Raw genomic sequence first — 23,816 nt, forward strand, 5'->3', positions numbered from 1 at the left:
ATCTGAGAGCAGGGACTATCTTACTCACCTTGGTAGCTGTAGCACCTAACACAGTGGATGCTGTGAGCACAAAAAACATTACATACATAAATGCTGAATACAATAAAGTGACCAAAGTATACCAATGTGTAGCAAGTTAGAAAGCCTTTTTATTTTTTTGAGACATAGTCTCACTCTGTCACCCAGGCTGGAGTGCAGTGGCATGATCTCGGCTCACCGTAACCTCTGCCTCCTAGCTTCAAGTGATTCTCGTGCCTCAGCCTCCTGAGTAGCCGGGATTGTAGGTGCACGCCACCATGGCCGGCTAATTTTTGTATTTTCAGTAGAGACGGAGTTTCATTATGTTGGCCAGGCTGGTCTTGAACTTCTGACTTGAAGTGATCCACCCTCCTCAGCCTCCCAAAGTGGTGGGATTACAGGCGTGAGTCACTGTGCCCAGCTGTATAAAGCTTTTTTTTCTTTTTAAAGGATTTTCGCAGAAAAATTCTTTTTTTAAAAAAAAAAAAAAAAAAAAGGAAATGCAAACCTGCAAAGCTAGAATTGGGCTTTATGTGAAGAGTTTCACCAAGTGTGAAAACCTTCAAAACAGACTTCAAATATGCAATCTGGACAGGCTTTGTTACCAGGTTTTTAAAAATCAAGTTTGAATAGTTCAAAAACAAGTAAAATTGTTTTAGTGAAGAAATGGCCTTTTAAAACCCAGGTCCTAGCTGGGCAAGGTGGCATGTGCCGGTAGTCCTAGCTACTTGGGAGGCAGGCCGGAGGGTCATTTGAGCCCAGGAGTTGGGAGTCCAGCCTGGACAATACAGTAAGACCCTGTCTCTTAAAAAAGAAAAAATTAAAAGCGAGGTCCTGAAGGTTAATGAAATCAGTATCGGCAATTCATTTAGATGACGGTGCTCAAAATATTCGTCCTGTGGAAAGTCACAACGAAAGGTAAAATTCTCAGGACATCTGTGAGTTAAAACAACAGACCCAGCGTAGGGATTGTGCCAACCTCCCAGTCTCTAGCTGCCCTGCTGGCAGTCCAGGAAGGGTATCTCCTGTCAGTTCCTGAAAGGGAATTCTTCAGCTGCCAAATCAGGCGGGAAAAAGGAAGTATAGAAGGCTCTGTGGAAACTGGCACCAGAGCACAGTTTCAAGGCACCGAGAGTTATATTTGAAAAATCATGTAAAGGTGGCTGCCAAGATTACAGTAGATTTAAAGCAGTATAAGAATCGTTCATGACTAAGACCACTGAAAAATCCTGGACCCAAAACAACTCTAGAGACACAAACACTGTAAACGATACCTAGTATATACTTACTACCGGAAAATCTGCCACACGTGGGATTAGAAATGACAACCTCAACATGGTTTGTTGCTAAATACAGTACCCTCCTGTTCTAACAGCTGACTTTTATAGATACAGAAATGTACTAAGGGTAAAACCATGCCCTTAGAAAGGAAACGCTGTTGCTACCTATACAGAAACAGCCTCTCCTAATAAGAAACACACTGATGACCACCCTATCCCACAACCCCGGTACCCCTTACGGTGCTGAGAACTTTTGGTACTGAGCCAGTTCAGAAAGCAGCACACACGAGAGCCAAATATTTCGGGCACATTCCAACTCTTGTCCACCCCTTAGTTTCCTTTTCAGTAGACTCCCAAGAACCTCCATCCACGGGAGAAACCTGGATTTGGGGGAGGGAATCCCAGGGGGAGGGGAGGGGAGCGGTCCACCCCGGGACACATGCACCCCCTCCAGGGTCCCCTCTGCAGATCGGCCCAGCTGTCCGGGCGCAGAGCCCCCAGCCCCGGCACCCAGCTTCTCCGGGCCCCGGAGCCGCCTGGAAGCCCCCGTCGGCCGCAGGTCGAGAAGGTGCTTCCCAGGCCGGGGAAGGTGCCCGCGCCCTTGCCCGCAGCGCCCCGCCCCGATGCCCGGCTCTGCGCCGCGTCCCAGCGGCGGCGCCGCCGCGCGGTAACCCGGAAGTGGCGGCGGCGGCGGCGGCGGCGGCGGGCGTGCGGGAGCGGGAACGGGAGCGGGGGGCGGCGCGCACGAGCCGGCCATGGACGCCGCCGCCGGCTTTGTGTGCCGCGCGCGGGCCCGGGCCGCCCGCGCCTCGCCTGGGTTCCGGGGCCGCCGCTGACCCGCCCGGGCTCCGAGCGCCGCGCCCGCCGGGCCGGCCCCGCCTCCTGCCCTCCTCCGCCTCCGCCTCCTCCTGCCGCCGGGCGGGCGGGCTGCAGCCGCCCTCCGCGCTCGCCTGCCAGCTCCCTCGCCGCGCGTCCGTCCTCCGTCCTCCCGGGCCAGCCAGCCAGCCAGCCAGCCGGGCCGGCGGCGGGCACCAGGCCGTCCCGATGCCCGAGCCAGGCCCCAGGATGAACGGCTTCTCGCTGGGTGAGCTGTGCTGGCTCTTCTGCTGCCCGCCCTGCCCGAGCCGCATCGCCGCCAAGCTGGCCTTCCTGCCGCCCGAGCCCACCTACACGGTGCTGGCGCCGGAGCAGCGCGGCGCCGGCGCGTCCGCCCCGGCCCCGGCCCAGGCTACCGCCGCCGCCGCCGCGGCCCAGCCGGCACCGCAGCAGCCCGAGGAGGGCGCGGGCGCGGGGCCCGGTGCGTGCAGCCTGCACCTCAGCGAGCGCGCCGACTGGCAGTACTCGCAGCGCGAGCTGGACGCCGTCGAGGTCTTCTTCTCGCGCACGGCCCGGGACAACCGGCTCGGCTGCATGTTCGTGCGCTGCGCGCCCTCCAGCCGCTACACGCTGCTCTTCTCGCACGGCAACGCCGTGGACCTGGGCCAGATGTGCAGCTTCTACATTGGCCTCGGCTCCCGCATCAACTGCAACATCTTCTCCTACGACTACTCGGGATACGGCGTCAGCTCGGGCAAGCCCTCCGAGAAGAACCTCTACGCCGACATCGACGCCGCGTGGCAGGCGCTGCGCACCCGGTGAGCCTGCCGGGGTCGCCAGGCCTGACTTCCAGCTGTGGGGAGGCGGGGTGGGGGTCTCTTGGGGCCCCTGGGGCGGCCTGCCAGGAGAGGGGCCCCTCCTCCGGGGCTGAGGGCCAGCGGAGAGCCCCTTGGCCGCCGTAAATTCGCTTTTCTTGTCCCACCCTGGCTTGCTCCCACCCTCTCCAAAAACCGCGCCAGCCTTCAGGTTCCTGGAGAGCTCGGACTCAGAGAATTTTGCCTGCTTTGGCTCGCCTGTGTGTCGCCGGCCCACCGGCTGGGTCTTTTGTGGCTCCGGTCACCGCGAGTGGCAGAGTGTGGGTGCTTAAGTACCGGGCAGAAAGAAACAACTTGGTTCGAGTTTCGTTTGTACGAGCTGAAGTGACCTTGGGCAAGGCACATGGGTTTCTAGACTCAGTTTCCTTCCCTGTAAAGTCAGTGGGCGAGACAGGATGGCCTCTAAAAGACTTTCTGGTTGTAAAGTGCGGGCAGGACAATGTCTGGGCAACCTTGGAAACAGCTGGAGCGTCAGGTGGAGCGGGGAGTTTGCCTCCTGGTGGGGCAAAGTAGTGGCACTGTGGGGCAGGAAGTTAGCTGGTAGCTGTGGGCCTGGCACCTTCCACACGGCCTCCATAACAGTCCAGGATAAGTTTGAAACTTGCAGGGGCTGGGAAATCTCTGACCTTAAATTAGCATTCACAGAAGGACTGAAAAGTGTTTAGGGTGGGCCATCTGTGAGCCAGGCACAAACTGGGGGCATGGTTTAGGGGTTAGACCTGGTTGTTTTATAACAAGCAAACCAAAAACCTGACTTTTATTCACTATTAGACAAAAGTCTTATACATGTGCAGGTCAGGTTACCTGTTTGTGCTCCAGTTTGGGTATCTGTGACCTTTCCGACCTGCCTCATAGCAGTGATGGTGAAAATAACCTGAGGCCATGTCTATGATGAGATTTGATTTCTTCAGATGAAAGAGTCCCCAGAGGAAGTACACCGGGCATTATTGTCGCCATGGACCCTTCTATAGTTTTTATCTAAAACCTGTTTGCTTATGCACATCACCAACGTTAATGATTTTTTTTTTTCATTCGTACTCACGCATATGTTCCTAAGTGACTCCTTGCCTGTCTGGGAAAATGGCTTGTCCAACAGGGAAGTACTTAATATTTGCTCTATGTTGCATGTTTATGCCCTCCTGAAGTCCTGAAGGGGATGCCCTCATTGGGATTATAGCTTTTCGAAAGTGGCTTAGGCAGATGAGAATGTATCATATGCAGATGCATTGGGTCAGAGTCTGTAAGTAGTTAAAAGCCACCTGTTCCAGTAAAGGGTTTCAAAAGTATGTGTCACACACAGTCTATAGCTTGCTAGAATTTGCTGTTGGCAAAGGTATTAAAAATAAGGTTGGCATTAGATCTTTAAAATTTGAAACATGAAAATCCTACCTTGAGTAGATTTTTTAATTGAAGAGTTTCCATAGAACATTGCTTCTGTGTGTGCATGTCCACATTACAATGAAAGCCTTTCACATGGCTCACCCTTTGCCCCAAATATACAGGTGTGTCTGTGTTACAGCTTACGTGGAGTGTAGTTATTTCCTGGAAACTTTTTTTTTTTTGGTCATATTTAGTTGAATTAAGGGGCGTTGTTTTGGATAATGTTGAATTATCTGATAGTGTATCAGTTGAATTAAGGGTAATTGTTTCGGATAACTTTGAATTATCTGATGGTATGTCTAAAGATTGCCCATGATTTATTTAATGTTATACCAGAACTCATATCTAAGTTAATTTATTCACCTGTAAAAAAGGTTAGAATTTGAAGGCTGCATGCGAAGCTTAGAATTTGAAGGAACCTTATAGATCCTCATGTCTTGTGCTTTTCAAACTGTTTTGACTGTAACCTCACAGTAAGAAACACATTTTACGTTTTGATCAAGCACACATACACGTCTGTATCCACATACCTGAAGCCAATGCTTCACAAAACAGTAATTTTTCTATGGGCAGCACACATAGCAGAATATGTTGTTTTATTTCACTTTTTTTTTTTTTTTTTTTTTGAGACGGAGTCTTGCTCTGTCGCCCAGGCTGGAGTGCAGTGGCGCCATCTTGGCTCACTGTAAGCTCCACCTCCCGGGTTCACGCCATTCTCCTACCTCAGCCTCCCGAGTAGCTGGGACTACAGGCGCCCGCCACCGCGTCCGGCTAATTTTTTGTATTTTTAGTAGAGACGGGGTTTCACCGTGTTAGCCAGGATGGTCTCGACCTCCTGACCTCATAATCCGCCCACCTGGGACTCCCAAAGTGCTGGGATTACAGGCGTGAGCCACCGCGCCTGGCCTATTTCACTTTTATAAAAAAGAAAAAAAAAGATGGTTGTGAATTGCTAAATTTATTTCCCAACTCATGTATGGACACTGCACACGTTCACCCAGCTCATCTGACAGGAGGATAGACTGGCGGCAAATCAGCAGTAGGTCTCTTGACTACCAGTTTAGTACTCTTGCGAGGGCACCATTGCCACGGTAAGCATATTTATCAGATTCTTCAGGAGGTGCATTTGTGTGTCTTGGTTATTCTGCTGACATAAGAGTTACCTAATTCTGAAGCCAATCAGCCCCTCAACCACTTTCCTCTTGCTGTTCAGTATGGTTCTTCTGCTCTTACTTGCCTGGAGCAAGTTCTTATGCTATTCTCTCTTCTTTTACAGCTTAATTCATGTCAGTGCCATGGCAGGAATGCCTTCCATCCCATGTGTCCATTCTTCTGTTACTGGGTCAGACTCTGTTTTCCACCAGCCATCCCCCATGTCTTCTTTGGGAATCTTTATCTTTCCTGCCCTCCTAGTTAACCACACTCCCCAGGACACTGATTGGAGAGCTTGCCTTGTTCTGAGTCATCTTCATCTCTGTACTTAGATTATTCCCCCAGGAGGACTGTAAGGTGCAGTGCCCTGCAGGCCCCAAAGCCCCACACTCAGGACTTTGCCCCACTCTTCTGCTCACATCGTCTTTTGTATCTGCCCTTCTCCTGTGCTAGGAACAATGGATCCTGACTGGATCTTAATTGGATTAGGAGACCCTTTGTGTTCCCTGTGCACCTGGTACTCAGCCCCTTTGCTTGAGTTATCACAGTGTTGCTGTATCTGTTATTTAACTGTATCTCCACTAAATTGGAAGATCTCTGAGGGCAGGGACACTATGTCTTCTCTATTCCTGACAGTTGGCAAAATGTCTTAAAATAATAGGTAGTCATTGGTATTTGTTGAACGAATTGCACATAATGGGCGCCCCATAAATAAGTGGGGTAAAGTTAATTTTTCCTAAGTTGGACTCTTACAAGTACTTGGATCTTATTTTATCTTCGGGGTTTAATATCCATGGGTACAACCATAGACAAAAAAAAAAGGGCCAGATGTATTGGCTTGAGGCCTCATCCACTTTGTATTCATTGTATTGGTGTTCTTGTGACACTGAAATGTCTGTATTGAAGAGAAGAACAATACTAACCCATCCTTTGTATGTCTCTACATCTTTTATCCATTACCTATTTGTGCCAGCTCCTGCGCATGCTAGAGTGAGCTGTCCAGCCCTTGAAACAGATGTAAATACTACCAGTGTGCAGACCCCTCATGCATGGATAAAGACAGTGAATCCCCCCAGATGATGAGTATTAAGGTGGGCACGTAATCCAGAGTAAGGGTTTCAGGAGGAAGTAGATTTGGTAAGAAAGGTGGTTGTTGCCGTTTGGCCAATAGATGATTATTTTAAACTCTTGAAAAGTTACTGAAAAGAGTGTAGCGGAGAGGCAGGGTTTGAAGGAGCCAGGAAGAGTGGCATGAACAATGAGGAGAGCTCATTGAGCATGATGGAGAGCCCCAAGATCAAAACTTGTTTTACGTTTGCATTACTGGTAAGAAATATAAGTATGTTGTGAATACAAACAAGTGAGGGAATGAATTGAAATCACTTAGACATATCTGTGGAAAAGACACTGAAAATCAGGGTCACCTTATTGGAGTGTATTGTTGTCACTTGAGTTGGGGAAGTAAAGTGATTAATCTGTGCAGGAATGGCTGCCTATTGGTTAAGGTGGGAGTAGGCAGATTCAGCCTCCTCAACACACATCCTTCCAGGGGATCCTCTTAGGGCTGAACAGTTTTAGACTGTGTGTGCACAAGTGGCACCATGACTCAAGAGACAGTGAATCAGACTGATTTGAAACTATAAACCCAAACAAGCAAATAGCCCGAAGAATGAGGTGTAAAGGAGGCAGAGTATTTTAGCTGAAATATTTTAATCTGGAGGAACAGGAGAGTGGGACTCTCCTGTTTGGACATTTGTAACTTAGGTGTCTGCTGATGCCATCCACAGAAGTCGTCTTTGATGCTTCTTTTTGATGCTGGTGACAAAAGCTGTGGAGGAGAGAGGCGTTTGGTAATGTGGGCAGAGAAACGTTGATACAGTCAGAGAAAGCAGATGCAGAGGGAAGAAGATAAATAAGACTCTTCAGTGCCTTTAGTACAAAAGGCAAATTACAAAAGACTTAATATTTCATTTATTCCTTCATTTGACCAGTAAACCATTAAACATAGGCTGGGTGTGGCGGCTCATACCTGTAAACCCAGCAATTTGGGAGGCCTAGGCAGGAGGATCACTTGAGCCCAGGAGTTCAAGACCAGCCTGGGCAACATAGTTGGGACCCCCATCTCTACAAAAAATTTTTAAAAGTAGCCAGGTGTGGTGGTGTGTGCCTGTAGTTCCAGCTACCCAGGAGGCTGAGGTGGGAGGATCGTCTGAGCCCCAAAGTTTGAGACTGCAGTGAGCTGTGATTGCGCCACTGCTCTCTAGCCTGGGCAACAGAGTGAGATCCTGTCTCAAAAAACAAAACAAACAAAAAACCCCAAACTGTTAAACACACATTTATTTATGCTCTGCTTGTGCCAGACCGTGTACTACGTACTCTTGAAGTATCGTTAATCCCAAGCTGTTTCTTTTTGTTGTAAAAGGATGGATAGATTTCAGAGGCATTTTGAATACGTAACTATGATTTGCTGTTTTATAACTTTTGTGTCGGTGATTCACAGGATCCATAATTGGAAAATCCATGTCACAGCAAAGCTGTAGTGGCATCCTCTCAGGTCGTGGGACCCTTGAAAAACACCTTCTGTTGGTTGTGAATGGTGTTCACAGCCAGCAGTCTCAGGGTGGAATTCTCCTCCAGTAGCAAGTTACTTTCCTGGGCATGTTGAAGTTAATAACCTAACTTCTTTGTTCTCAGTGTTCTCAGAGGGAATACTATGATGCCACTAAGGGAAGAAAGCTTAGAGTTTCTGCTTGAGTTTGACTGATTAGGGAACAGAAAAACAGAAATATGTCGGCCGCGGTGGCTCACAGCTGTAATCCCAGCACTTTGGGAGGCTGAGACGGGCGGATCATTTGAGGTCAGGAGTTTGAGACTAGCCTGGCCAACATGGTGAAACCCCATCTCTACTAAAAATACACAAATTAGCTGGTCGTGGTGGCAGGCACCTATAATCCCACCTACTCAAGAGGCCGAGGCATGAGAATGGCTTGAACCCGGGAGGCAGAGGTTGCAGTGAGCCAAGATTATGCCACTGCACTCCAGCCTGGGCGACAGAGCGAGACTCCATCTCAAAAAAAAAAAAAACAAATGTTATGAATACTGTTTGACATAAGGGGAAAGCACAATGATATTTCTACAAAGGAAATAGAATGTTGGCTTGCAATTCAAGGCAGCCAGTATGTGAACAGGAAGAATGTAACTCTTAAGAACAGACCTGTTGAAATTGAAGTAGGCATAGTCCGTTTTGGGGATCCACTCAGAGCCCTTCTCTTTGGTCCACCTTCAGCCTGTTTCCAAGTGCTCTTTTGTCATACCTGGCTCTTCCGGCTTGCCTCACCGTGTGGTTCGGCAGGTTTTCTCTCTTTATCAGTACCAGAAGCTGAGCTCTCACTCTCCTCTTGCCACAATTTACTTACCCGTGGTTCTGTTTTGAGGGGCCTTGCTTTTCTCCAGTAATCCAGTTGCAAAGGATCTGACAGATGACTTCATTTTCTGTGTTAATGGGCAATAACTCCTTAATGTGTTCTCTTCCGAGCACAGTTGTTTTCATTTAGTGCACTCTTAGAGGCTCAGTCTTCTCTAAAATTCAGTCTTAGGTCAGGCACGGTGACACAGCCTCACTGAGACCTCCCTGTAGTCTCAGTTACTGGGAGGCTGAGGTGGGAGGATTGCTTGAGCCCAGGAGTCTCAGACCAGCCTGGGCAACATAGTGAGACCTTGTCTCTACAAAAAATAAATTAGCTGGGCATGGTGGCTCATGCCTGTAGTCTCTGAGCCCAGGAGTTTGAGACCAGCCCGGGCAACATAACAAGAACCTGTCTCCAAAAACCAAAATCAAGTCTTAAAATTCTAATAATGCCATGTCATATTGGTGTAGAAAGCATTTTTTTCCCCTGCAGAAGTCACTTAAATCATACAGTCCTGAGATTACTTAGAGTTTCCCTTTAAGGTCATTCCCTACCTTATATTACTGCTTCTATTCCTCACTCTGTCTCCAAATTTAGTAACAACTCTCTTCAGTGTTGATAATCCCATATAAGACTCCAAAATCTGGCTTTAGGAATTGCAGTGTTCATTTTGATAGCAGCTTTACCCTCTGTACTGGATTTTGCTTAGGCTCGTGTTGAAACTATAAATCTGCTCTACTTTAAGAAGCCTGTGTACAGGAATCCAGAGTCTCAACATATACAGTTAGGAGATTATTATTTGGATAACAGAGTGCTTTTTTTTTGTTAGGGCTGCTTTAAATAATAGGCTTTCTAATTTCATCTAAAAGATGTGATTCAAAAAAGACAAACAAAACCTTTTAGAGTAGAAAAATCAGTTCTGACTCTAGCACTCCCACTAATTCACTATGTCAGTTTTGTGCAGCTGTAACAGAAGATCTGCGACTGGATAGTTTATAAAGAAAGAGGTTTCTTTCCCAATTTCTGGAGGCTGGGAAATGCAAGATCGAGGCACTTGCATGTTTGGTGTCCGATGATGACTGCTCTGCTTCCTGGCTGGCTTCTTGAACCAAAGGCGGGAGGAAGGCTCTTGCTCAAAGCTTTCCTCCAGAAAAGCCAAAGGGCAAGCGAAGGAGGGGAGAGAGGCGCAGACTCCCTCTTTGATAAAGAAGCTTCTCTGAGATAAGGCATAAGAATGGAGCCCACATGGCCTGATCACCCGTTAAGGGTCCCACTTCTTAATCCAGTTACCATGGCAATTACATTTCAACATCAGTTTGAGAGGGCACAGGCATTCAAACCATAGCAGCCCCCTTAAACAAGACACTTCACACTTCTGGGCTTCACATTCCACTGTTTGAAACCTGGACCAGTGAATTGTGATCCAACTGTATGGCTTCTGAGGTGTCTTCTGGTAAGTCTGTGTTTTGTGACTTTTAGGGAAACCACCTAATGTTTTTGAATTTGCTTTTTCTTAACTACACTGGGAAATACGGTGGATTCATTCTGGTACAGTGGATCTCCACCTTAGCTGTACTTTAGAATCTCCTAGGTAGATTTTTTTTAAGTGTGCAGTCTATGTATATGAGTGTGCGTGTGTGCACACACACAGCCAGAGTTGAGACACACTAGCCTAGAAATGTCCAAGAGCCAGTGAGTATATTAAGATCAGCCCCAATTATAATTTGTTAAGAGTTGAAAAAAATGGAATGTTAGAAAAGATTTTTTATACATTTATATACAGCTATCCCCCCTTACCTGGTGGGGGATACATTCCAAGACCCCCAGTGGATGCCTGAGCCTTGGAGAGTACCAAATCTGGTTTACATTATGTTTTTTCCTATACATACCTATCTACAATAAAGTTTAATTTACAAAGTAGGCACAGTAAGAGATTATCAGTAACAGGTAATAATAAAATAGAACAATTGTGCCAATATACTATAATGAAAGTTAAGTGAATGTGATTTCTCTCTCACAGAGTATCTTGTTCTGTACCGTGGATAGCTGAAACTGCAGAAAGCAAAGCAGTGGATGAGGGGAGAGTGCTATAGATGGTTTCAGATAAAGATCTCTGGTGGCCAGGAACCCACTAGAGTAAACCATATGAAGGGGTAGTGGTTGAAAAGAAACCACATTCGTATTTGTGAGATTCCAGGGAGCCTGAAGCTCCTGCCCTGTTCCTCTCTCTCCAGCTGCCTCTCTCTGGGGTTGGCTCCTCTCATCTCCTGTCCACATGCCTGTCCCATTGCTCTTTCTACACTCAAGCCTTTTCCCTCATTCACACTCGCTGCACATCACTGTGGCCCACCCCACCTAGCCTTGTTCTGACCTGGCTGCCTGGAGCTGGGCTCCTTCATGCTAAGTTCCCATCCTTGCTTCACCTGGTTGTACCCCCGGGTTAGTGAGGGCTGCATGGCGCGTGTGTAACATATGTAACTAACCTGCACATTGTGCACATGTACTGTAAAACTTAAAGGATAATAATAATAATAATAAATACATACGGCAAAAAAAAAGAAAAGAAAAGAAATGCAGCCACCTCCTTGGAGCCTGCAGGAGGGCGCAGTCCTGAGAGAAGGGGCCTGTGGCTGGGTGAGCATGTGGACACCCCAGGATGCTGTCACTTCTGTGCCTCCTGAGTCAGGCTTCTGCCCCTCCTCTAGTTGTGGATGGAGGGTTGCATGGAATCGTCACTGCTCTCCACTGAGCTCCCTGTGTGACACAGAGCTCAGTCTGACAAGAGAGCATCGACCTTGAAGAATAGACTACAATTAATTCCTTAAACCAGGTCAGTAGAGTGGTGACGTCATTGCCTTTTTGAGACCACGTGTGTGTGGGTGCCCATTGCAAGCCTGAAAGTGAAAGGCTATGGAAAAATAGGTCTGTTCCCTTTTGTTGACTCTGCTGTCTCCTGTCCTGCAGCTGACACACCATCCACCGTTGGGCTATGGGACTGCTGATGAGAAGTGATCTGTGGTGTGGACATAATTCTGAACAGCCTGTGGGGCAGTGGAGGTCAGCCCAGGCATCAGGTGAAGAAGGCAGGAGAAAAGAGGCAAGAGAGGGAAGATGGCCAAAACTTGATGGTGCCAGTGGACTTCTGTGTGGCTTGGGTTGGAGGTTCCTGGCGTGAAATGGTTTAATGATTTAATTCTTCATTTGGAGGGTTTACAACCGGAACTGATTCTGGCTCTTATGTCAGAGTCACATGGGCAAGGTTGTCTCAAGGGTAACCTGGGGAGAAATGTTCCCTGCAGTTCTGAGCTTCCTATGATTTGTGTGTGTGTGTGTGTGTGTGTGTGTGTGTGTGGTTAGGAGCATATATTTTAGAGTTCAACAGACCTGATTTTAGGTCCTGCCTGTGATTAGCTGCTTGACCTCAGGCAAGTTTTCTACCATTTTGAGCCTCAGTTAAAATAATGATGATGGTTACCATAGCTGCAACCACCTTGTCAGTTGCTTAACACAGTGCTTTCCACATAGTAAGAGGATGGTATTGTTTAGGATTATTGATAACATTTTTAGAGCTATAATAACCAAATGCTCAGATCATGCTGAAAACTAGGTGCTTAAATCAGAAGGAGTGTTAAAGAAGTTGCTTCTTTTCCCACTGTGTATAGATACAAATACCCAGGTCAAGCCTAGCTTGGTGGATGTGGAAGTGGAGGAACGGTAAAGGTGTTTTAGTTTTATTTGTAGCTAAGGGGGAAGTCTCTTTGGAATTGTTGCTTATGGCCTCAAGAGCTTTGGAGAGTGGTATGCATTAGTATTTTAAATCTGATAGCATTTCATCTACCTAGGTGTTTATATGCCCAAGGGAGATCTTTAAAGGAGAGGAAACCCTACCTGTAATCCAACACCTGCAGTTACTTTGCAAACCATTCCTGGTTTGCCCCTCCACTTTGCACTTTTTGGAGCTGGGCAGGAATCAGAGACTTCTCTGAGCAGAGTTAGGGATGGCAAGGACCAGAAGGCAAAAGCCTGTATTGTGTGCACCATTCAAGATGTTCTGGTTGCTCTTTACTTATGAGACGATCCTTAATAGAGTTAACCTTCCCTTTTCCTAGTTGGCCAGGGGACCTGAACAGCAAGCTTCCTTTTAAAATATGAATGCTCCCATAATGCCTTGTACCTCAGATTCATGTGGCTTTTTCACAGCTCTGTGTAATGGAGCTCATTGATAACTCCCACGTTATTGATTCACTTTAGAGTGTTAAAGGACCATGGCTCCATGGTGAAATTGGAAACCTCTGTTTTCCAGGAAGTCGAGGTCATTCAGATTCAATGCTCAGACGGATAGTTAACGGTTGTACGTCAATTACTTGCTGAATTGCTGAGAGGAGCCTAACCTCAAGCTTACTTGTTAACAGAGTACTGTTTAAATTTCCAAAGGAAAAACGAGCGTAGAGAACCGCCAGTACTGATGATTAGTTTGCTCCTTCACTTTACATGTTTTAATGGTTACAGTGAAATCTGGGCAGTTATTTTGGGGGAAAAATGTAAAGGAGCCTGTGTTCAGAATATATCCACAAAAAGTGAGTTTCCAGATGTTAAGTATAAATCTACTAGCTAAAATCTCTGAGATTATGATTGATAATCAGATGAGAATTCTTACCTAATCTCAGACTGTTTTTGGAGACTGTCATGGACATAACTAAACCCTGTGCAGTGATGATTATATGGACTGCAAAGGTCTGTGATACTAGAACAAGAATTTTGTCTGCTGATCTCACTTAAATAATTTTATTTATCCCTATTGTCATAAATAACTCAAGGGTATTTCAGTTTCTCCAGTTTTGATTGTTGTCGTGATGTTTAACTATCACTGTTGTCCTTATAACATGTAAACTTTATACTATTTTAATTTTAATGTAACTATTAGGAAAGGACAATTCGCATGCTAATCACTTTGAAGCATGTTTTATAGTATACAAGAAGACTGGATAAAATAAGTTCGTTAAAAAATGAACATGCCATTGTAAAGGCCAAGGGAAAACTTCTTTGTGCGCAGAAGGTCTGCTGAAAAATCACTTGATAAAAAGCAGATTAATAGGAGAAATGGCATATAAATTTATCTGTGTGCACAGGAGAAAAATTACAGAATACCCAGTATCCCAATGGGGTGCATATTCTTATATATCTACTTCTTAGGGGAAAGGGAAATGGGAAAGTGTGGATGATTTTAGAGGGATGGAAATGATTTTTAGGGGAATTCAATGGACTTGAAGAACATACAGTGGCCTGAGATAAAGTCTGTTGGATCTGCAGGGCAGACAGTGGTTTGTGACAAAAGTCTGTCTAGGTGTGTTGACATACTGCAGTCTTTCTTCCTGCAGTAGGAGTTCAGTTAATGAAAACTTACAGAAGGCACCAGAAGTAATTGTTTTCTTCTTTGGTGGATCTAGATCAGAGCTGTCCAATCTTTTGGCTTCCCTGGGCCACATTGGAAGAAGAATTGTCTTGGGCCACACATGAAATATACTAATACTAGCAATAGCTGATGAGCCCCCCCTCAAAAAAAAAAACGCAAAAAATCTCACAATGTTTTAAGAAAGTTTACGAATTTGTGTTGGGCCACACCATCCAAAGCCATCCTGGGCCGAGGGTTGGACAAGCTTAATCTGGACTTAAGGCAGATAAGGGAACTTTAGAGAACAACTTCATGCTGTGGTTTGGGAGGGTCAGGGTTTTGGTGGGGAGGGGCAGAGAGGCTTCCTGAGGCTTCTACAGCTCGGCGTGTCAAAGTACTGTATTTGGGGATATCCATTTTTGAGCCCCAATACCATCATATATTTAATTGGAATAAATTAGTTTTTCCTACTAAAAATTCCAAGAAAACCCTAAAAAGGCTAAGAAGGTATTAAACTAAAAATATAAATGGTTTCCAATTCCTGTTTCCATCCCTGAAGCTCAGTGGGAGCTTGCAGTGCAAGGGTTCCAGCTGCCTCTGGCTGCGGCCACGGGACAGTCCTTCCACACCTGGGCCCCGGGCACTGTCAGCGCAGCTCTTCATGCCCCTGTCACTCTCTTCCTTTTATCCAGGCTCCAAGTCACAGAGTCCTCTGTGGTCCCTTTCTCTTCTTCATCTGAATATCTGGTCAGCCACACGTTTCTATTACTATTTCCTCTGTTTTCCATCTTTTCCTTCTCCTTCTTTCTTTATTCTAGGCTCTTGATAGCTTGTCCCGGAATTACTACACTAGCCCGTTCTCCCCACCTCACATTCTTCTCTATTTTTTTGTTTTGTTTTGTTTTGTTTTGTTTTGTTTGTTTTTCCAGACAGAGTCTTGCTCTGTCGCCCAGGCTGGAGTACAGTGGCATGATCTCAGCTCACTGCAGCCTCTGCCTCCTAGGTTCAAGTGATTCTCATGCCTCAGCCTCCCAAATAGCTGGGATCACAGGCATGTGCCACCACGCCCAGCTAATTTTTGTATTTTTAGTAGAGACAGTGTTTTCGCCATGTTGGCCAGACTGGTCTCGAACTCCTAAGCTCAAGCAATCCTCCCGCCTCAGCCTCCGAAAGTGCTGGGATTATAGGAGTGAATGGTACATATGTTTTGTGAGTTAAGCCTGAATACTCCAGTACAGGGGGCAGGCTTAACTCTGCGTGGTCAGCTTCACTCACTCCTTCCTATCAGGCACCTGGACCAGTGCAGCCTGGCGGGTAATGGGTACTCATCGGATATTGGTTGAGTAAATAAACAGGTAAGTTGGTAATAACAGAGTTCACAAACTTTAGTGTAAGAATTACTGGGAGGCCTTGTTAAAATAGATGCCAGACCCCGTCCTCAAAGACTCTGAGAGAATAGTTGTGGAGCAGGCCCAGATGCAATCATTTTAAACCCGCAGGCCTGCAAGGGAGGGTGAGTTGTCTGTATTTTAGGAACCTGGGGACATGAAGTTCCTGAGGGAGGCAGTTGGAGACCCCACATAGTGACCATGCTTGTACAATATTACCTGCTCCTGGGAAGTTTCTGCGAATCTCCTTTGCTGAATCTCCTTTGCCGGAGCAGTAATAGTCACTGGGCAACTTGCAGTTTGTATCATACCAGGGGTTTCAACATTTTTTAAGCAGTAAATATATACTTTTATAAATATATGTATATATTGTAAATATAAATATATAGTTTTTTAAAAAAAAGCTATTGGGGCCTGGCGTAGTGGCTCACGCCTATAATCCCAGCACTTTGGGAGGCCGAGGCGGACAGACCACTTGAGGTCAGGAGTTTGAGACCAACCTGGCCAACATGGTGATACCCCATCTCTACCCAAAGTACAAAAATTAGCCAGGTGTCGTAGTGCACACCTGTAGTCCCAGCTACTTGGGAGGCTGAGGCATGAGAATCACTTGAACCCAGGAGGCAGAGATTGCAGTGAGCTGGGATTACGCCACTGCACTTCAGCCTGGGCAACAAAGCGAGACTCTGTCTCAAAAAAAAAAAAACAAAAAAACACACACATGAAAAAGCTATTGGTAGCTGTTGTTGGCCTCCAGGATATAGTTGCATACTCCTCGAAGACTCGCACATCTGGATCACCATTTTCTTTACCCCTGGATCTCCTGCTTTCATCCCGTGTAGTGTGAATATCCTGGGCTGTTGAGAGCCTGTTCAGCAGCCCCGCCTCACACTTCCCGGCCTCTCCCTCATTGTTCTCCTCCTCCACCCTGCACCACTCTGCAGCAGCCCACACCTGTGGCCACACCTTGTACCTCGTGATCACCTGGAATGCTTTGCTTCCAGGATTTTGAATTCTGAAATACTCCTTTCTGACACACCTAATATCCTGTTGGATCTGCCTGTTTAACAAACATATTAAGTGTCCACTGTGGGCCAGGCTTTCTTCCAGAACAAAACAAGCAAAACCCCTGCTCTTGTGAAGCTTTGTTTCATAAGTGCCCATGAAAAACAGTAATCATAATGAGTATGTGAATGATAGTTTATTATTCAAATATGATAAGTGCTAGAGGAAAACATAGAACAGGGCAAGGGCATTGGAGTACTAGAGAATGGATGGGTTGGCTGCAACTTTTAAAGGATGATTAGGGTATGCTTCATTCAGAGACTGACACATGGCCCCAAGCAGTGAGGGGTTAGCTATGTGCAGAAATGGGCTGAGGGACCAGGGTCCTAAGATGGGGCATGGTTGGCAGATGTAGAGATCATCAAGGAAGCCAGCGGGGGGCTAGAGCAGGGCAAGTAAGGGGTGCAGGGGTAAGAGGAGTAGTAGGAGATGAGGACTGGGAGTAACTGGGGAGGGGTGAGGGCATTAGTCACATAGGGCCTTGCAGACCATTGCAGGGACTTTGGCTTTGACAGCAGGAAATGGGAGCCATTGGAGGGCTTTGGGTAGAGGTATGACATGATTTGACTTAGGTTTTGGAAGGATCACTCTGTGTTAATGACAAATTGGAGGAGCTGATATGTCGAGGGAGGAAGGTGAGAGACCAATTAGGATGCAAATGCAGTATTTTAGATGAGAGATGCTGGTGGCTTGGGCCAGAGTGTTAGCAACAGCGGTGGTGAGATTTTGGATGTATTTGAAAGGCGGAACCAACAACAGTATTTGCTGATGCAGAGTGGTGAAGGGGAGTGTCAAGGATAACGCCAAGGATTTTGGCTTGAGAAACAGGAAAACTAGAAACTGAGACTGATTTTTTTTCTTTTTTTTCTTTCAGTTTCATTAGCTTTTTTCTTTTTGTGGAGATGGGGTCTCACTATGTTGTCCAGGCTGGAACTCCTGGGCTCAAGCAATCTTCCTGCCCCTGCCTCTGCCTCCCTAAGTGCTGGGATTACAGGCATGAGCCACCGTGCCCAGCAGAATTGCTGTTGATTGAGATGGGGAGGGCTGTGAGTGGCTCAGGATTGTGGGGCAGGGCATAGATCAGGAGTATTGTTGAGCTGTAGGCGCTCATCAGACCTTTAAGTGGAGATGTAGAGTAAGCAATAGAATTTAAGTCTAGAGTTCAGGAGTGAGGTCTGGGCTAGAAATAAATTTGGGAATTCTCCCTTCAGAGAAGGAAAGGCAATTAAGCCAAAAACAAACCTGAAAGAATTGGCAGTTTTTCCTGGGGTGGACCTACCTCTGCTTCTGTGCCAAAATCACCCTGTAGGCGCTCTGCTCATCTGGCTCCGTAGCATCTTTGATCAGTGTTGCCACCAGGCCTTTAAAAGAACCCAGTGTTGAGGATCGGATGCTCGCATGAATCACTGAGTGACAGGTCTCTGTAGGAGAGAGCATCCTGACATCAGAGTGTGACATCAGCTTGTGGGTTGTGGCTCTTTGGTCACTTTCTGTGGCTGGAGAGTGATCGCTCATTTCCCCCAAGATTTCTTTCCAGCACCCAGAAGAGCAGCAGGACAGCTCCATGCTTGCTGTAGCAGCCCCAGGCAGCCCGCAGGTGATTTCCCATAGGAGGCTCTATGCACTGCAGTTTTGCCAGAGGTCTTGTCATTACTGCATGCTGCCTGGCTTCCACTAGATTATTTCCAAAAAAAACCCTCCTACTGACTCGGTGTGGACTAGTGTTTCTTGATTTGTAAAATGTGAGAGAACCATAATTACTTTGGCAGGATTAAGTGTGGTGAAGATTACAGTTTTAATTTGCATAATGCCTCCTGCCTGTCTATTTTCCTGTATTTCCTCTCTGAACTGAAAATGGGACCAGTTTCTTGGGGACTTTTGCAGGCATTGGATCTTCTGAAACCCATTCTTGTATTATTTTTGAGTTTTCCTCTTATTTACATTTGCTAAAGAACTGCAAAGCTAACTAACTAACACACCAAACAATTGGAGTCTGTATTTCTCAGGACTTGTCCCTTCATTTGCAACTCTTTTTTGAAAAGTTCTAGGTAGAATGAAAGACTGCTGCCTGTATATTTATGAAGGAAGAAAAATGCCGTGGCCTTTCTTTGCTCTTAACCTGCTTTTCTGCAGTCGTCAGATGCTGGTGTCCATTAGCCCTCCTGCACCATTCATATCTCTTCCTTGCCAGCAAGACAGACTTCCCGTTCTCTGTCCCCATAGTTCTAAGATTATGCCTTTGTTCTAGCCCTTATCCCCTGGTCCTTTGGTTACTGATGACTGTACCTGGACTCCTCCGTTGGAATGTGATCTCCTTGAGGACAGAGGTAGTATCTAACTCTTTAGACTCACCCGGAGCCCAGTACAATAGTTCTTGTGTCGAAGGACTGGGTTGAATCACTGTAAGAGGTAGGATTTGTATTGAGAGCTCTTTCTTTTCAGGTTCAGGATGTGGGGCCTTCATCTCCTTTGATTCTTGGAATGGAGGCATCAGTCAGGTGGCTGGTTCAGCCCCAGCTTCCTGCTGAGGTTCCTCTCTAGGCATGGATGTGAATGTGTAGCCCAGCCAAGGAGGGGTAGAAGGAGCCCTCTGGGCCCAGGAAACAGCCTGCCATCGATCCTTCAACTGCCTGGACTTCTGTATAGAAGACAAAGCTTATTTTCTTAAGAGCAGCCTCACCTGTCTATGGGTGAGGTCCAAGAAGTGTAACAGAAGTGCTCAGAGGAGAAGGGGAATGTTTGTTCTTCTTGTGGTGTGTTAGGGAGGAGTGTGTCCATCTGTCAGTGTAGTACAGCCCTCCATATGTGGATTGACAGCCAGCTCATTCTAATATGTTTTTATAATACTTGGGAAAAGTGACTGTGGTTGTTATGGTTGAAGGATATGCCTATACTTCAAGTGTCACTTGATAATGAAAATGCAGAATTCAAACAATTTTTTTCTAAATCTATAGTTTTACTGACTGCCTATCAGCTTCATCTCCTCGGATCCATGAGACCTGTGCATTTGCTGTCTTTTTGTTACTTTGCCATGTTGTTTATTAAAAACAAAACAAAACTTTATAATGGAAAAATCTCAAATTATATACAATGTACAGAAAATATTAAGCTAAATTCCATGGCGGTCTCATCACCTGCAGCAACTATTAACATTCCACCATTCTTACAGCATCTACAGTTCCACTCACACTCCACCCCCAGCCTCTTATTACTACTTTGTAAGTCTTTTTTTTTTTTTAAGGAAAAATGTACATGCATTGGAATGTACAAATCATAGCTCTCTTAACTTCCTAGCAGTGTCTTCTTGCCACCCACATCAGCTCTCAGGCGCAGTGATGAGCCAGCCACAGAGCCAGGCTCTCCTTGGTGTGCCGTGGTAACAGTGTCCTGCCATTTTTGGGATGTGGATTGCACTATGAGAGTATAGTTAAGGGAGGTTGTGGATAAATTTAATACCAAATAGTTACCGAAGGAAAGCCACTGAGGTCTTGTTCTTTTTTTTTTTTTTTTTTTTTTTTTTTTCAAAATCAGCCTTAGAAAGGAAAACAGAAAGAAAGATAGGGAACTCCAGGAGTGTGTCCCATTTGTCCAGAATTAGTGGTATGCCATAAACAGAGCCCTGGTCTGGAGCTGGGAGAACATTGGCTTTCATTAATATTGAGGTACAGGCCAGGTGCAGTGGCTCACGCCTGTAATCCCAGCACTTTGGGAGGCCAAGGTGGGTGGATCACAAGGTCAGCAGTTCGAGACCAGCCTGGCCAACATAGTGAAACTCCGTCTCTACTAAAAATACAAAAAATTAGCCGAGCGTGGTGGCAGGCGCCTGTAATCCCAACTACTCGGGAGGCTGAGGCACGAGAATGGCTTGAACCTGGGAGGCGGAGGTTGCAGTGAGCAGAGATCGTGCCATTGCACTCCAGCCTGAGTGACAGAGCGAGATTCCGTCTCAAAAAAAAGCAACAAAAAACATTGAGGTACACAGCTGTATGGCCTGGGTAGTCTTATAATATCTTTGGGTCTCATTGTCTCCATATACAGACCACACACACACACACACACACACACACACACACACACACATATATTTATTTATTTATTATTTTTCTTTTCTGAGACATGGTCTTGCTCTGTCACCCAGGCTGGAGTGCAGTGGCGCAATCATGGCTCATCACACCCCTGACCTCCTGGGCTCGGGTAGTCCTCCCACCTCAGCCTCCTGAGTAGCTGGGACTACAGGTGCAGGGCACCTCACCTGGCTAATTTTTGTATTTTTTTGTAGAGAAGAGATTTTTGCCATTTTGTCCAGGCTGGTCTTGAATTTCTGGGCTCGAGCAGTCTGCTTACCTTGGCCTCCCAAAGTGCTAGGATTACAGGCGTGAGCCATCACGCCCAGCCTGTCTCCATTTATAAAGTAGGCAGTTTGCATTAGATTGTAGTTCTGGTGTATCCGGCATTCCTTGAACGTCTGTTTTATGCTAAACACATTTCACACATTACATAATTTTAATCGCCACCCATCTGTGAGGCACAAACTGTTGTTGTCTCCATTTCACAAATGCAGAAACTTAGGACCATGATAGATGAATGATTTGTCCCAGGTCACACCATGTTAAAAGGTGAGCCAGGATTTGAACGCAGGCAGCCTGACCCTGGAGCCTATGCTCTAAAATTAGAAAATATTCACTACATGCATAGTCTTCCAAGGTGGCGGGGGGTGGACATCTAGAAAATGCTCAAGACGTACGCTAGGGGTGCAGAAAGACAAAACCAGAACTTATATTTTGGCTTAATATTTATTATTTTTCATTGTTTTTTGTGTGTTTTCAATTTCTGTGGATTTTGTAGTGTTTTAAAACACACACAGACACGCACAAATCGGGAGCACCTGCTCTCATTTTTATGGAAAAGAATGCATGATTAAAAGTTGAGACACCAGTGTTCTCAATTCATAGTGTTACTTAATATATTTTTGGATTTCTTTTCTCAGAAATACAGTATCTGAGCATGACAGTAAATTAAAATGCTTAGAAATTGCAGTCTTTCAACAAATTGAGTACTTGATATATGTCAGGTGTTGGGCTAAGTGCTAGGTATAATCTTCTGCAGTATAAAAAAATACACAGCGTTAGCCAGGATGGTCTCGATCTCCTGACCTCGTGATCCGCCCACCTCGGCCTCCCAAAGTGCTGGGATTACAGGCGTGAGCCACCGCGCCCGGCCTACACAGTTTGCATTTTAAAAGATTACTTTGTATACCCCTAGAGAGGTTCCCCCCCATGGAATTCTATATTGTCTAACTGTTTTCTGATGACATAAAATTTCTCCTGAGTCTTTGGAAATCAATTGAAAGGAAGGAAAGAATTGCAATGGCCATTCAGATTCCTCTCACCATTTGGATTGGGTGGTTCTGACCACTTTACCATTTTTTATGTTGATTCTGATCAGAGGAAGATGGCTGAGGATTAGTAAACAGAAACCTGGATAACTGTAGGTGGGCCTAGGTTAAGAGCAAGGACAGTAGAGCCAGACCACCTGAGTTTGAATCCTGCCTACACTGTTTAATCTCTGTGCCTCAGTTTCCTCTTCTGTAAAGCGGGGAAATGATAATTGTGAATATAGTAGGATTGTTATTCATAGTAAATGAGTGAGTGTTTGCAAAGTGCTTACATGTAAGTTGGATAGAATACATTTTTAAAAAACTGAAAGGAATGAGGGAAAGATATGAATGAATGAATTTATAGTAGTAGACAGCTTTCAAAGATTTGAGGAAGAGCAACCCACCTATTTCTAAATGGGTTTGTGATCTTCAAAGCGCTTTCACGTACACTCTCTTGGTTCCTAAGAACGGTTCTGTGCAGCCCACATGGCTGTTAAGTAGTGAGTGCAAGGTTTCCATGTATTTCTTTCGACTTTTACATGTTTTCAGGGTTTCAGTTGCCCAGATTAACTTGTTGCCATTAGTAGTCATTTTTGTCATTCGCTTTGTAATGCTTTTGTCAGTCTAAATAAAGCAGTGTGTCCAAATGGTCTAGCAACATAGTCTTTCCCTATTTGACCTGAAAAAAAAAATTTAGAGCAATTGAATTTTAATTCTTACAGTATGCTTGTGGACATTACTGTAATTGTTTTCTTGAGCCATGATAACCTATATTAAATAATCTGGAGCAACATTTTATTCCTGATTATTTAAACAAGGACCAGTTTTTCCTACTGACTTGCATCTTTTTAGACAGGGAGTCAAAATCTTTAAAAGTCAGTCTGATGTGTTTATGGAGTCTGCAACATGCCTAACTCTAAGAGGTAACTAAAGAAGGGGGTTCTTTTATCTTCCAAGAGCATGGCTTATTATTGCAGGTGGCTTCCTGGAGATGTGCGTACTCCAGGGAGAAAGGATGTTGATTATAACTAGCTGCTCAGGAGCCTGGTCCTTGGCAGTTCTCAGTAAAGGCTCTTTGACCTAATTCCACAGACTAAGCTCCGACATGCTTCTGTCTCAAGACCACAGGGACAGCCGCGTAAGACAAGGCCTGTGACCTTGTTGGAAACGTCTCTGCTTCATGGGTTCTTGCCAGTCTGTAGGTCCCCCACAATTTCTACAAAGTAAGAAGTTCCCTTTAACCCTAAAATGAGGGGGCCCTGGCAATAGAAGAGCTACGATCATGTCTAGAGCCTCTGTAGGTTTCTTGGTAGATTGGATCTCTAGTGTAAGATGCCATTAATAAAGGAAATCATCTTAAATCCCTAGTTCTCGGTTGTCATTCCACTTTACATCCCATCAGATACTTGGAAACTGCTGGTTTGTAAGCTCCATGAAGGCAGAAGTGGCGTCTTGTTCATATTTGAATTCCCTACAGAACCTAACGTGAAGTGGAGCCTCAATAAATCCTGGGTGAAGTAGATTAAATTATTCTCTTACTTAATCTCTTTTGCAGCCGGAATGTTCCCAGTTCCCTTGACCATTCTTTGTATAAGGTATTTCCAAATTCTTCACCATCCATGTCCTTCTCTCCGAACGCATCCCTGTTGAGCAGAATTTCTGAGAC

At 45.7% G+C, this 23,816-nt stretch overlaps 1 protein-coding gene across 1 annotated transcript in view, besides 7 other annotated features; it reads left to right on the plus strand.

The window, feature by feature from the left end:
- Positions 941–1,235: a silencer, noted in NCBI's record as "tiled region #13951; HepG2 Repressive non-DNase unmatched - State 20:ReprD". NCBI's record gives its function as "represses a minimal TATA promoter and a strong SV40 promoter by Sharpr-MPRA in HepG2 cells {active_cell/tissue: HepG2}" and the evidence as "EXISTENCE:reporter gene assay evidence [ECO:0000049][PMID:27701403]".
- Positions 1,697–1,856: a silencer, noted in NCBI's record as "silent region_6732". NCBI's record gives its function as "represses an Ori minimal core promoter by ATAC-STARR-seq in GM12878 lymphoblastoid cells {active_cell/tissue: GM12878}" and the evidence as "EXISTENCE:reporter gene assay evidence [ECO:0000049][PMID:35858748]".
- Positions 1,877–1,986: a silencer, noted in NCBI's record as "silent region_6733". NCBI's record gives its function as "represses an Ori minimal core promoter by ATAC-STARR-seq in GM12878 lymphoblastoid cells {active_cell/tissue: GM12878}" and the evidence as "EXISTENCE:reporter gene assay evidence [ECO:0000049][PMID:35858748]".
- Positions 2,007–2,426: a silencer, noted in NCBI's record as "silent region_6734". NCBI's record gives its function as "represses an Ori minimal core promoter by ATAC-STARR-seq in GM12878 lymphoblastoid cells {active_cell/tissue: GM12878}" and the evidence as "EXISTENCE:reporter gene assay evidence [ECO:0000049][PMID:35858748]".
- The window catches only part of ABHD17C (abhydrolase domain containing 17C, depalmitoylase), a 60,312-nt gene continuing 38,718 nt past the window's right edge, over positions 2,223–23,816 (plus strand). The window contains exon 1 of the mRNA NM_021214.2: positions 2,223–2,932. Within this exon, the coding sequence (NP_067037.1) occupies positions 2,343–2,932 (590 nt within the window). The 5' untranslated portion in view covers positions 2,223–2,342. The remainder of the gene's footprint in view (positions 2,933–23,816) is intronic.
- Positions 2,517–2,566: a silencer, noted in NCBI's record as "silent region_6735". NCBI's record gives its function as "represses an Ori minimal core promoter by ATAC-STARR-seq in GM12878 lymphoblastoid cells {active_cell/tissue: GM12878}" and the evidence as "EXISTENCE:reporter gene assay evidence [ECO:0000049][PMID:35858748]".
- Positions 2,757–2,826: an enhancer, noted in NCBI's record as "active region_9944". NCBI's record gives its function as "activates an Ori minimal core promoter by ATAC-STARR-seq in GM12878 lymphoblastoid cells {active_cell/tissue: GM12878}" and the evidence as "EXISTENCE:reporter gene assay evidence [ECO:0000049][PMID:35858748]".
- Positions 2,987–3,046: a silencer, noted in NCBI's record as "silent region_6736". NCBI's record gives its function as "represses an Ori minimal core promoter by ATAC-STARR-seq in GM12878 lymphoblastoid cells {active_cell/tissue: GM12878}" and the evidence as "EXISTENCE:reporter gene assay evidence [ECO:0000049][PMID:35858748]".

Source organism: Homo sapiens, chromosome 15 (assembly GCF_000001405.40).
Source record: "Homo sapiens chromosome 15, GRCh38.p14 Primary Assembly".
Taxonomy (NCBI): domain Eukaryota; kingdom Metazoa; phylum Chordata; class Mammalia; order Primates; family Hominidae; genus Homo; species Homo sapiens.